The sequence below is a fragment of the Homo sapiens genome, chromosome 4 (genome assembly GCF_000001405.40).
Source record: "Homo sapiens chromosome 4, GRCh38.p14 Primary Assembly".
NCBI classification, from domain to species: Eukaryota; Metazoa; Chordata; class Mammalia; order Primates; family Hominidae; genus Homo; species Homo sapiens.
The window spans coordinates 26,674,242-26,688,654 of record NC_000004.12 but is presented as its reverse complement, the minus strand read 5'-3'; the positions used below and the strand labels follow the sequence as shown (position 1 = coordinate 26,688,654).

General features: G+C 36.7%; 1 protein-coding gene across 19 annotated transcripts in view; it reads right to left on the bottom strand.

The window, feature by feature from the left end:
- Positions 1-14,413, bottom strand: part of TBC1D19 (TBC1 domain family member 19) — a 282,243-nt gene that overhangs the window by 170,265 nt on the left and 97,565 nt on the right. For all 19 annotated transcript variants that reach the window (XR_007057937.1, XR_001741277.2, XR_007057936.1 and 16 more), the window contains 2 exons: positions 4,906-4,980; positions 248-310 (listed from right to left, as the gene is read on the bottom strand). Coding sequence is in view for 10 of the 19 variants with exons in the window: in XM_047415904.1 (XP_047271860.1) it covers positions 248-310; positions 4,906-4,980 (138 nt within the window). In the remaining 9 variants the exon portion in view is untranslated. The remainder of the gene's footprint in view (positions 1-247; positions 311-4,905; positions 4,981-14,413) is intronic.

The following is a 14,413-nucleotide window of genomic DNA, read 5'->3' as shown; positions in this document are numbered from 1 at the left end:
TTACCTGCCAATAATACCTCCTTGATGTACCATATATGACAAAAAGAAACAATTGGGAACTCTTATTCTCCTATCTAATTTCACAGTAAAAACAAAAGGTAATCTTATCCCAAACTTAGAACATTTCATCCGACAAGCATGCCATGGATTACAAAAAGATTTAGTCAACAGCAGAGATATCTCCTAAAGTATCATGATATAGAGAACCTAAAACAAGAACACTATGTATTTTTATTTTTAAACTTACCTGATATAAATAATCTTCAAATACAAAATAATAATCATCATTGCTTGCTGTCAACTTCACATCCTATAATTAAAAGTAGACAGTACTGAAAAGAACTCAAACAGATCTGTCTGTAGTACTAAAGCATACACATGTATTTAGAAGCACTACTGCAATAAATTTATTACTTTATGATTATAAACTTCTCAATTAAATTTTATCATTGCTATGTATTTACTGAACTAATATATGTGACACATTATTTGAACTCGAATTCCTCATACTTTTTAAGGTCCCATTAGTAATTCTTTAATATTTATTTCAATTTTATCTCCTTTTAATCTAATATTTAGATGGCTTAAAGCTAAAAAAGAAAAGCGGATGCAATCATAACATCCAGAAGCAACCATAACGATCTGGCCCCAAATTACTGTTCCAATCTCACTGTTCAAGTCCAAATTCTTGCCATTCCCACAAAAGACCAAATATCTTCCATGCCTTTGTGATTATTCACTTGCAAGTCACCACTTGTTACTGAGAGAGCAAGAATGTTGATTTTCTGTATTATGAGTTTAAGGGCCAGTTCACTGACTTCCCCTGGATAGCATATTAGTTTCCTTCTTTAAATATATTCCTATTCTCACTTTCTGACTTGAGTCTACCTTAATGATTTCTATGAGCCTCCCTATGACACTTTAGCCACTTTGAGCTCCAACATCTTAAATGTTTTTTGTATACGTAGTACCACCACAGTGCTTAGCACCTAAATACCCAATACATATTTGATGAGTGAGTAAAAATAAATATGATAAAATTATTAATAGAAATTAATTATATTTTCCTGTGATATAATTCATAAGTATATAGGTACCCCTCCAATAACAAGCAAACAAATGAACAAAAGTCTAGAAAAATGAACTAAAGCATTTGTGTTTCCCCCAGGATTGCCTCTGAATATTATGTCCAGAGTTGGAAACTGCTGCTTGTGTGCTTCAGTGTAAAGAACATAAAATTCCAACAGATTTAACTAAGATTTGAAATCCAGTTCCACTACTTTTAGCTGTATGACTTTGGTCAGTAACTCTGAGGCTAGATCTCCATATCCATAAATGAGGATACCACTGCCTCCTTCAGAAAGGATGGGTAAATGCCTAGCACAGTATCAGATAAAGAGTAAACATCCAGAAAGCTTTTTTAAAAAAATTCACCAAAAGCCCTTTTACTTATAATAGTGTTCATCTATTTATAAGTAAATATAGATCCCAAACCTTACATGTATCCAAAATCTCCAGATGTAACTATACCATGCTTTTAGACCCAATATATAATCAATTCAACAAGTACTGATTGATTGGTTGGGATGAAGGATACAAAAATCAAAACTTCAAAAAACAAACAAACAAACAAAAAAGAAGACAAATAATAAATGTTTACCATCGAGCAGTCTACAATCTCACTGGCAAGATAGTAAAAACATGGGAAAATCACAAAGAAATGTTACAAAAATCCATGGTCAAATAGCTCTAACAGTCTATAAAATTCAACCAGGCTGTTGAGCAAAGTAGCAATCAGGGGAGGATGGAAAGAGTCATAGATGACTCTGGGGTTAGCGAATGTGTGCTAACTCTGAAAAAACCATAATGACACAGATTAAGGAGAAAGAAACAGTCCAGCCTTTTATGTCAGAAGACAACCCAGACAAAGGTAGAGATCATGCATTCTCAACAGGGGGATACTATTGCCTCTGTGGGCATGAAAACTGGTTCCTGGAGGTCAACAAATTTTACATATTACAATGGTATGTGGCCGACCAGAGCTCATCCCTACCCATCCAAATCTTATTTTTTGTTATTTACTTTTTCTTATTAGAGAGAAGTTAATTAATCTTTCTCTCCAGGAGCGTGATAATGAAGAAAGGTTGAAAAACACTAGTATAAATTATCAGATTATAGTAAATGGTTGAAAACTATAGAAAGTATGGATACAAGGCAAGTTTGTTAAAAAAAAAAACAAAACACAAAACCATTTAATAAATTAGCTTAGGGAGGGTTCAATGATGTTCTGTACTCACAACATCATTGGCTCAGAACATCTATGACTTTCCATCCTCCCCGATTGCTACTTTGCTCAACAGCCTGGTTGAATTTTGTAGACTGTTTGAGCTATTTGACCATGGATTTTGTAACATTGCCTTGTTCCATTCATTCCTTTAACCTTTAAAAGAATTCCACCTTGTTTTCAGTTAAATTTAAAATAAGTTTTTGCTATAGGGAGCTGTAATAACAGGGATTTTTTTTTTTAAATGATCATTCCCTTAACGGCTGACTTCAATAATGTTTGGAGTGATTGGCAGAGCCCAACTAAGTCAAAAATAACCAGAGACAGATATCTTCCTAAAAACATTCACGTTGCGCACAGCTTAGATGCCATTAAAACTTTCATCCAATTCCTCAGGCACAAATTACTTCCTTCTTGGAACAAATTTTCTTTACTGACTCAAACTGAAATTTGTTTTGGTGACAAAGAGAACTCTCATCCTAGCACTCCTTACTTTTTTTTAGCTTTTTCACGTGTGAGTTTCCTCTCATTTGACTAGAAAAGAGGCTAATGGTCTTACAGGCCAAAAGATCTCTTACATTTTTGATAAAATAATCCACTGAGCATAATAATTTGACCTCAAACTTAATAGTAGTACCTGTGATCCAAATCTAGTGAAAAACCTCTGTGAAATACAAGACTTTCCATCAAAGGACTGTATCCTCTAAACTCTCATTTCCACTTACTGTAGAGCTTAGTGGTTAAGAATACAGTTCTGAAGTCAGATTGGCTAGGTCTAAATCTTGGCTTCACTACTTCACATGTTAATTTAAACAAATTTCTTTCTTTATCTCAATTTCCATAACTACTTTCTGCTTTGTTATCACACATGTGTCACTATGTTGCTGGTAAGTAAGGAAATGATGTTAGTATAACATGGAAATTGTATTGGTTCAGATGCAATTTTTCTTAAGCAAGAGGAGCTGGAGCAGAGGGAGGAGAATTATAACCAACAGCAGGAAAAAAAATGTCTTCAGCTCAGCTGCTGCTGCACAGGCATGAGACTTTACAGTTGCTTTTTAAGAACATTAAAAACAGGCATTGGCACTGGGGCTTCCTCTTGAGAGAGGCACGCTCCCAGCCCAGCACATTTCTTCACTGCTGTTCTCTTGTGCACACCTTAACAGTAGCCCCAGTGGCCCAGAGCACCACTTCCACTTGCATTATTTTAGCATTTCTGTTTTATTATTTTTATACATTTTTAATAGCTCCTACCAGAGTAGCCTGCCTGAGCTGTCTGATTCTTCTCCCAGGCCACCAATGATTGCTTTTGTTAGTACTCTGATTACAAAGTTGCAAAAATTTTGAGTGGGTCTACCCCAACCCTGTTTTGCCCATAAGCTCTGTTATTTTCAAAGCGTGGTTTTACAGAATGCAAGTTTTTCCGCAGAAAAACAATACATTTATAATGCATAGCCTAAATGTTGGTATCTGCTACTCTTAGGTAGTTGTATGCACTAAATAGTAATCTATGTAAAGGGTTTGGAATACTATATGGCACAGTAAGCAGTCATTTGTTAGTAATAGTTATTATTACCCCTGGCCATGTTCTACTCAGACACATTTTCAGGTCCTCAATATGTAATCTTCTTTTTCCCATTTCTGAGACCTATAATAATATGCCTTTCTCTCTTATATTTCAAATCTAAATTTTAAATCTAAGACTTTTAAACTGCCTAATATTAATTCAGAATTATTCATATCCTATATTACACATAAAGTGTTAGCTACACCAGACCAATCTGGTTCAACTTCTATGTAACACAGTTATGAGCTGTTTTTCAGTTGCCATGGACCTCCAGGTTGAAGGTCACGTAACCTGAGCATGGCCAGATGAACCAAGCACGCAACCACAGGTGGAACCTATGTGACAGGACTAAAGAGTGGGGTCTGAATTAAGAAGTGGACACCACATGGCAGTATCCAGGATTCAATCAGATCAAGCCCTGGCATCACCCCATGGCAGGATCCAGTCCGATCAAACCTTTCTAGCTACAAAAACCCAGTGCTTTGGTGCTTGGCTTTCTATTGTGTACTGGAAAATGGACCCTGTTTGGCTCAGTGATGAAAGCGTTAACTCAGCTCTCAACTTGATTATCAGATGCTTGGAGGCAAAAACTCAATGTGTCTCTACCTTAAAACCTGAGATATACTTAGCCATATGTCTAGAAACTAAAAGAAATTAAAAATTAAAAATGACTTCAATATAAAGAAAATAAACAAGTGGGCCCTAAAGAATCATAAGATAAAAATATTATAATCCGGTTTTGCTTTTCAGTTGCCTTTTTACTTGGTTTGTGTAGAAAGCTTGAATTTAGAGATATAAGAAATGCTTATCTTAATCAAAAAATAGGAGGACTAGGAAAGAATCATGAAGACAGCTTCAAAGGGAAAGAAGATAACAGAGAATGCAAACTGCAAATTTTGAACACCAACTTTAACTTTATATGTATAAATCTAATCACTTAAAATTATTTTTCAAGGTTAATATATATCATACATAGCACAGGCTCTGCATACTGAAGAATCTCAATTCTAAATTATATTAATGAAAAGGAAAAACTAAGCTGACTTTTACTTACTTTATAGATTAGACTGTCCACCAAAAGGTCATGTTGTATCACATTGGTCTTAAGCTGCTCATAATACAAGACATCCTAAATTTAAAAGTAAAACAAAAAAATTAAAGGTCAATCACATTTATAAAGTCAGCCTTAAACTCAAATAATAATAGTATTCTAAACACTAAGAAGGGCAGGAACTCAGTGTTAGGCACTACTATAACCCTCATGCCTGACTAATAGTAGATGTTCAACAAATATACTTACTTCTATCACTTAGGATAACATCTGGCACCTGGTGAGTATTCCGTCAATATTTGCTAAGTTAACTATAATTTAACTTTAATAGCAAATACAGTATTTATTAAGTACTTACAGGTGCCAGGCACTATTTTACCCACTTTACAAGAGTTAACTCATTTAATCCCAAACCAACAAAATGAATTAGGTCAGTGATTATTATTCCCATTTATGCTTGAGAAACTGAAGCCAAGAGAGAAAAGTAACTTGCTATCCAAGGCCATAAAGCTAGTAACATTTAACCTCAAGAAACCTGGCCCCACAACCTATACAAAAAACTCAGAAGGATTACTTTATACTGCCTTTCTAATATCTAAATTATTACAAAATAAAAAGTTTAAGCATAACAAAGAACTCCTGGTAGTAAAAGCAATCATATAGGATATAAAGTCAGCTTTTAATATTAGAATATGGTCCCATATGCTTGAACTCAGGAGTTTGAGGTTACAGTGAGTTATGATTGAGCCACTGCTCTCCAGCCTGGGCAACAGACTGAGACCCAGTCTCTAAAATAAATAAATAAATAAATACAAGAATATGGCCACATAATACTATAAAATCTGATTAACTGCACAACGATGAGATTAGGCTAATGTAATAGAGAATAAGAAGTGGAAAAGAGGGAAAATGGAAAGTGGAGAGAATAAGGGAGGAAAGGAAGAAGGGGGAGGAGGGACTAGAGACAGTAATCAAGTTAAGCATCAGGTTCATAGTTGGTCAGGGCATTAAGGATGAAGGTAGGGATCAACTGGGTAATAGTTATGCTAACAAGAGATGCAAATAGTGTCTCGTTGCTTTAGCTGACATGTGTATTGCTCCAAATCCCTCCTTTCACCTCTCAGGCACTTTAGCCCTAGCCTCCTCTCAAACCCAAAGGCAATTTAGGACAGCGGATCTGTATGACTCCTCCTGACCTCACAGAAGAGTTGTGGGATAGGGTCGTCTGAGACAAGGAGGAATATTTACTGCATGTAGCTGCCTGGCCAGGATAAAATCTGACTCTGTGTTTCCTGAAATATGATTTCTTCATTGCAAAAGATGTTTAATACATAGTTCTTTGGCTTGAGTCAAAGTGCTCTTTGCCTAATGATGATCAGGGCATTTACTGGCTATTTTTAGTCATTTAAATTTTAATTAAAAAGCCTTAATTGGTCCTTATTGATGTTTTCATTTTTTAACTAAAGCAAAATTATTTTACTATTTTATTTATATTCCATTGTATCTACCGAATCTATCTCTCTGGCTAGAATGCAGGCTCCTTAATGGTAGAAACAGCACCTAATTCAAATATCAATTCCTGCCAGTTGTCATAAGTAGAGTAATGCAAAAGCTACGTTTAGGGGTTTGCCTCTATTTAAAAATAAGTTTAAAATTACAAACTAATATATGACCATTAAAACAAGTGAAACAATCTAGAGTAAAATAAAGAAAAAGTTAAACATCCTTTTTCCTTCCATTCAACTGTCCCAAAATAATTAATATTATTTGTATTTGGTATTGTATTTGTGGTGTTATTTGTAATTTGTATTCTTCCATGCTTATACCTATCTCCATGCTTATATGACTATGTAATCATAGTTGGGCGTTTGTGTTGTTGTTTTTCAATATGAAATGGAATCATATCATAGTCATTATTCAGCTTCTCTAACCTAATGCCATATCATGGTTTTCCTTCTTGTTAAACAATACACATTTAACTCATTCTTTTTAATAGTTACATACATTTTAATATTTTTAAAGCTGTGGTATAGATTTGTCACAATTTGTTTAATCATATCCCTATAGATGGATACTCAGGTTGTTTGTCCCTACAAATAATGTTGTAATAAATATCCTTAGGCACTATGTTTTTATATCTACAGAATAAATTGGCAAAGGCAGGATTATAGACTGAAGGCTGTATATATATATATTTTTTTTGAGACGGCGTCTCACTCTGTCGCCCAGGCTGGAGTGCAGTGGCACGATCTCGGTGCACTGCAACCTCTGCCTCCTGGGTTCACGCCATTCTCCTGCTCCAGCCTCCCGAGTAGCTGGGACTACAGGTGCCCAGCACCATACCCGCCTGATTTTTTTTTTTGTTTTTTGTATTTTTATTAGAGACAGGGTTTCACCGTGTTAGCCAGGATGATCTCCATCTCCTGAACCTGGTGATCTGCCCGCCTCAGCCTCCCAAAGTGCTGGGATTACAGGTGTGAGCCACCACGCCCGGCCAAGGCTCTATGTATCTTAAACTGGGCCACAAATTGCCTGACTAATCTCAGAAAAAAAATCAATTCAAATTCCCACCAGCAACACGAGAGCACATTTTATCTATGTACTCACCTCTTTTAAACATTCTCATGCATGAGAAACATCTCATTTTTGTATTAATTTGCACTTTCCCAACTCAATATAGTTGAAGAATCTTTCATATATTTATTGGCCATTTGAATTTCCATTTCAATGATTTGTCATTCATAACATATACCTATTTTTCTATTAGATTATCTTTCTTGGATTGAAAACAGAGTTGAAGCCATTAGGGAATAGGTGACTTGTGGATGAGACAGTTCAGGGAAAATGAATAGAATAAGATCAAAATGGAATTCTGAGAAATACATGCACTTAAGAGCCAGCAGAGAAATCCAAATGGAGACTAAATAAAGAAAAACGAGAGAAAGAAGAGCTAAGAAAACAGGGTGAACTAAAGTTAAGACCAAGAATATTTCAAGGATCAAATAGGCACTGGTATCAATACTGTAGGTATAAGAACTAAAATATGTCCACTATTCCTTGGTGACTTTAATTAGGGTAGTTGTAGTTATGTAGTGGGGGTGGGTGTATGTCAGACTACAATCAACTGAGTAATTAATGAGATCAAGTGATTAACTCAGCATTACTTAACTCATATTAATACAATCAAGTAATTAATAAAATTAAGTCTAGCACAGAATTTTGTTTCACAGGTGTAGCTGTGAAAGGAAGGAAAGGGAGAGAGAGATGGCTAGGAAAGACATGAGGTTTAAGATTTACTTTTATTCCTAAGATAGAAAAGACTTGAGAATGTACAGTGCTATGAGAAGGAGTGAGTAGAGAGGAAGGAAAAGGCAGAAAAAAAGATTTTTTTTAAAAGTAGATGGAACATGTACAAACATAGGGTAAAGAGAAAGTATGTTAAGGTGTTTAAAATACAGGATTTTTAAAAGTGTTTAACCAGAAGAGCTGAGATATCAGATGTATTAGTCCATTATCATGCTGCTATGAAGAAATACCTAAGACTGGGTAATTTGTAAAGGAAAGAGGTTTAATTGGTTCACACTTCCACATGGCCGTGGAAGCCTCAGAAAACTTACAATCATGGTGGAAGGCACCTCTTCACAGGGCCACAGGGGAGAGAATGAGTGCCCAGCAAAGGGGGAAGCCCCTTATAAAACCATCAGATCTCAGGAGAACTAACTCACTATCACGAGAACAAAATGGAGGAAACCACACCCATGATTCAATTATGTCCACCTGGTCCCATCCATGACATGTGGGGATTATGAGAACTATAATTCAAGATGAGATTTGGATGGGGACACAACCAAATGATATCATTCTACCCTGGCCCCTCCCAAATCTCGTGTCCTCACAATTAAAAACACAATCATGCCCTTCCAACAGTCCTCCAAAGTTTCAACTCATTCCAGCATTAACTACGCTGATGCAAGAGGTAGACTCCCATGGCCTTGGCCAGCTCTGCCCCTGTGGCTTTACCGAGTACAGCCCCACTCACAGCTGCTTTCACAGGCTGGCATTGGGTGTCTGCAGCTTTTCCAGGCACACAGTGCAAGCTGTTAGTGAATCTACCATTCTGGGGTCTGGAGGATGGTGGCTCTCTTCTCACAGCTCCAGTAGGCAGTGCCCCAGTGGGGACTCTGTGTGGGGGCTCCAACCCACATTTCCCTTCTGTACTGCCCTACCAGAGGTTCTCCATGAGGGCTCCATCCCTGCAGCACACTTCTGCCTGGATATCCAGGCATTTTCATATATCCTTTGAAATTCAGATGGAGGTTCCCAAACCCCAATTCTTGACTTCTGTGTACCTGCTAGACCACCACCACATGGAAGCTGCCAAGTCTTGGAGCTTGCACCCTCTGAAGCAGTGGCCTGACCTGTATCTTGGCCCCTTTTAGTCATGGCTGGAGCTGAAGCATGGGACACAGGGCACCATGTCCTGAGGCTGCACAGAGCAGGGGGGCCCGGGGCTTGGCTCAGGAAACCATTTTTCCCTCCTAAGCCTCTGAGCCTGTGATGGGAGGGGCTGCTGTCAAGGTCTCTGACATGCCCTGGAGGCATTTTCCCCATGGTCTTGGCAATTAGCATTTGGCTCCTCATTACTTATGCAAATTTCTGCAGCCAGCTTGAATTTCTACCCAGAAAATGGGTGTTTCTTTTCTACCACATTGTCAGGCTGCAAATTTTCCAAACTTTTATGCTCTGTCACCTCTTCAATGCTTTGCTGCTTAGAAATTTCTTCCACCAGATACTTACCCTAAATTAACTCTCTCAAGTGCAAAGTGTGAAATGAAAATAAATCTTGGGGTCCCCAAATCACTAAGCTAAAGGGAAAAGTCAAGCTAGGGACTGGGTCATGCAAAACTGCCTCCCCTTTTGTTTCCTAAAAAAGATGATTATAGGACGAAAAGCTACATACCTCCCCCATATTTTACCCACAAGGAAATTCCTAGTGAGCTCAAAGATCTTTACTGTAAGGTGTTTCTGTTAAAATTTCACTACCACAATGTAAGCTGATAGCTTATTTTTACAGGTGCAGTCACCTCCCTGCCCACCAGACAAATGCATATCTGATTGTTTCCCTGTCCCATTTTTTTCTATGTTATCTCATATAAAAATGCAGATTCTCCACATTTTTCCTCACTCCATTTGTCTATGTCATCTGAGGTTGAAAAAAAAAAAAGCAGTTTCGCTGAGCCAGGCAAAGGCATGAATAACTATTTTTCCCTGCCCACCTCTTACATAAAAATTGTGTACTTCTCAATACCTCGCTCTTTCCCCTTTAAATTTGGAGCCCTCAAAATCATCTTTGGAGAAGGCATAGACCTGTTTCCAGGATGCACATCCTTAACTTTGGCAAACAAACCTCCTAAAATAATTGAGACTTGTCTTGTCATTTTTCTCGACTGACGAAAGTTACACAGATCTCTAGGGCAGGGACAAAATGCTGCCAGTCTCTTTGCTAAAGCATAACAAGAATCCCCTTTATTCCAGTTCCCAACAAGTTCCTCATCTCCATCTGAGACCATCTCAGCCTGGACTTCATTGTCCATATCACTATCAACATTTTGGTCAACGCCATTCAACAAGTCTCTAGGAAGTTCCAAACTTTCCCACATTTTCCTGTCTTCTTCTGAGCCCTCCAAACTATTCCAACTTCTGCCTGTTAACTAGTTCCAAAGTCGCTTCCACATTTTCAGATATCTATAGCAGCACCCCACTCTCTGCAGTACCAATTTACTATATGAGTCCATTCTCATGCTGTTATGAAGAAATACCCAAGACTGGATAATTTATAAAGGAAAGAGGTTTAATTGACTCACGGTTCCACATGGCTGAGGAGGCCTCAGGAAATTTACAATCATAGCAGAAGGCACCTCTTCACAGGGCAGCAGGGGAGAGAATGAGTGCCCAGTAAAGGGGGAAACCCCTTATAAAACCAAACCATCAGATCTCGTGAGAACTCACTCACTATCATGAGAACAGGATGGGAGAAACTGCTCCCATGATTTAATTATCTCCACCTAGTCCCTCCCATGACACATGGGAATTATAAGTACAATTCAAGATTTGGGTGGGGACACAGCCAAACCATATCACCAGATTTCAGTGTTTAAAAAAGCAGGGTATTGGGAGGCCGAGGCAGGCGGATCATGAGGTCAGGAGATCAAGACCATCCTGGCTAACATGGTGTAACCCTGTCTCTACTGAAAAATACAAAAAAAAATTAGCCGGTGTAGTGGCGGGCACCTGTAGTCCCAGCTAATCGGGAGGCTGAGGCAGGAGAATGGCGTGAACCTGGGAGGCGGAGCTTGCAGTAAGCCAAGATCGCACCACTGCACTCCAGCCTAGACGACAGAGTGAGACTTCGTCTCAAAAAAAAAAAAAGGATTTATAGGGAACAAGGCTGAAGTCAGAAAGATAAGGTAGAAGGTTTTGTTTTTTTTTAATCCAGGCAAGAAATGATGGTATTTTGAAATGAGAGTGGTAGTGAAACATGTTTAGGAGTTAAATCAAGAAGGAATTATTGAGTAGTATAATTATCGAGTAATACAATATGATATTCAGGAGCTAGGGATGACACCAGGTTTCTGGCTACGGTTCCTTGATGGACAGTGGTACTGAAAAAGGAATTTAGGAAGAGTGTTGACATCTTGAATTTGAGGTGCTTGTGAGATACACGAGTGCTTAGGTTCACTAAGCAGCTGCATTTAAAGTTTAGAAAAGAGAGATCTGAGAAGAAGGCATATAGATTTGAGGTAACTGGTAACTGAGGCTTTGGGAGTTTGTAATATTTGCTAAGGAATGTATGAAGAAGAGACAGACCCTCAAGAATCCTAACTGATAAGACAAAGAAGACCCTCCACAAATGAAGAATGCCAGAAAGAGCACTGTGTCACAAAAGCAAAGGAATATGTCAATAAAGGAATAGTCAATGAGGTTAAACACTGACAACAGGTATAAGAGGTAGACATTTCTTTTTTTTTTTTTTTTTGAGACAGTCTTGCCCTGCTGCCCAGGCTGGAGTGCAGTGGCGCGATCTCTGCTCACTGCAAGCTCTGCCTCCCGGGTTCACGACATTTTCTTGCCTCAGCCTCCCAAGTAGCTGGGATTACAGGCATGCACTACCATGCCTGGCTAATTTTTTGTATTTTTAGTAGAGTCAGGGTTTCTCCACGTTGGCCAGGCTGGTCTCAAACTCACAAAATCAGGTGATTCACCTGGCTCAGCCTTCCAAAATGCTGGGATTACAGGCCTGAGCCACTGTGCCCAGCCTGACATTTCTTCCATTTAAGTAAAAGTAGTTGAGGAAAGGACCAGGTACTGATGCAATTAAGTTTACAAGTTTGGCAGGAAGAATTTGAATGAATTTCTAATGATGACTTCTGTTTTCTCTAAGTATCAGGAGGTTAAGTATTTTGCTAAGACTGAAGAGAAGGGACTGAAGAGAGTGAAGGTCAGAAACAGGCACCGTGAAGACTAAGTGAGCTGACCACAAAAATCTAGGCAGATCAGGCATTGTTAAGAGCCAATGTAAGGTTGTAAGAACCTTCCTAAGAAATTATTAAAGAAAATCTTAAATGTTAATATTAGTCTTGGCTATTGTTATCAGTAAGCAAGTACCTAGAGCAAAAGTAGAAGAACATTTTCTGTCTTTAATTTAGCAAACTGAAATTTAAAAATTTTTAAAATATGAACAATGTTTACTAAATATGGATATTTTGACACATACCTAGAAATGCGTAGAAAAGGAAATATACAAAAGCAATCTTCTTAAACCTATCATAGATTTTCTTTAAAAAATGAAAGTTAGATAATATTCTATTCAAAGTATGAAAAGAATTAACTACTAGGAACCACAAGTATTATATCCAAAGTCTTTGTATTGAAATAGATTTTAAAGAATAGCTTTATGTTTGTGAAATGTAGAATCTTCCATTTATGTCTAACTCCTCAACTATGACTACAATTATATGTGCAGCTTATTTTATGTGATTGAAAAGCGATTCAACAAAAAATTCTAATAAGGTATTCCTAATAAGAAGTAGTATTCTTTTTCCTTCTCTCTTTCTCTCTAAAGTACCACCTACAACAATTATTTTGGAACTGCTATAGTTCATTGGGGTCACACTTTTATAGCTGAAATTAACTGTAAATGATAAAAGATGCTTTAATAAAAAAATCAGGGTTGCTTTCCTGAAAATATTAATTTCTATTTACAGATATTGAATAGACTTGTCACTTTGCAATTAGAAAACTCAGATGGCTATTAGCTCCAAAATTCAAGGGTAAAAATCACCTTAAAAATTTTTTTCTTTTTACAAGAAAACACCTACAAGTAGTAAAAATGATTTTTGAACACTGTAAAAAATGATTACCTGGGATTATTATTTTATTATTACGTGGGGTTATTAGGATGATACTTCTGGAAATATTCTAAATTTGTTTTAGAAATCGCAGTGATTCTTCTGCGAAGAGATAGAATTTGTTAATACAATTTCTATACAGTTAAGTTGGCAGTGCATCTACAAAGTTAGATCAGGACAAGAGTTGTATCTTCTTCTACAAGAATTGATACACTCACCAAAAAAAGGCCCAATATATACTCAAAACTATTTTATAAACTATTTTCTCTAAAGTGTCACAATAAAAAGTCAGCAATATCATTTGTCTAAAACTGCTCTGAAATAAATTGCAAGCTTTATTGTTTCACAAAGGAAGCAAGTGATTTTTGACAGAACTGTTCAGAGGGAGATTTAAAACACAGTATACACACATGCACGTATACATAGTTTGCAAGGGTTAGAGGTATAGTTTTTATAACAATATTAATAATATTTGATTTTCTTTAAAAACATCATTATTAATTATAATTAATTTATAACATGATTAAATGTAATATGTAACTCTTATGATTACTTTTATTAATGGTGATCATTTATGTTCCAGGCACTATGTTAAAAGTACATGTACGTTATTTCATTTAATTCTGACGATTATGTGATATAAATATTATTACCTATATTTAAGTGTGGGTTAACTGAGGTTTGAAGAAATTTAAGTACTTGCTCAATGATATATTTCTAGTAAGCTGGGTGAGCTAGAAGTTGAAATCAGGTCTGTATGATTCCAAAACCCATGTTTTTAAACACCAGGCTAGAAAACTATTAGTGTGCTATTCATTAAAATTTTTTAAATGGATAACTTCTATGATTAATGGGCTTAAGCAAAAAACAAACAAAAAAATCCCCACTAAGAATATTTCAAGAATCAATGTCTTACATAGTTTTGCTTTATTTAATCTATTACCCATCTGCTGGTGATCTCTTTTCATATTCATATTTCCTAAAATAAAATGTTCTTACATATAGAAAAATAACATTCCCACTTAATCTGTCAATTTCTAGAACCATAAAAATAGTGCATATTTCAAAAGTACCTATAGGGACAAAGAATCCATTTACTTAAC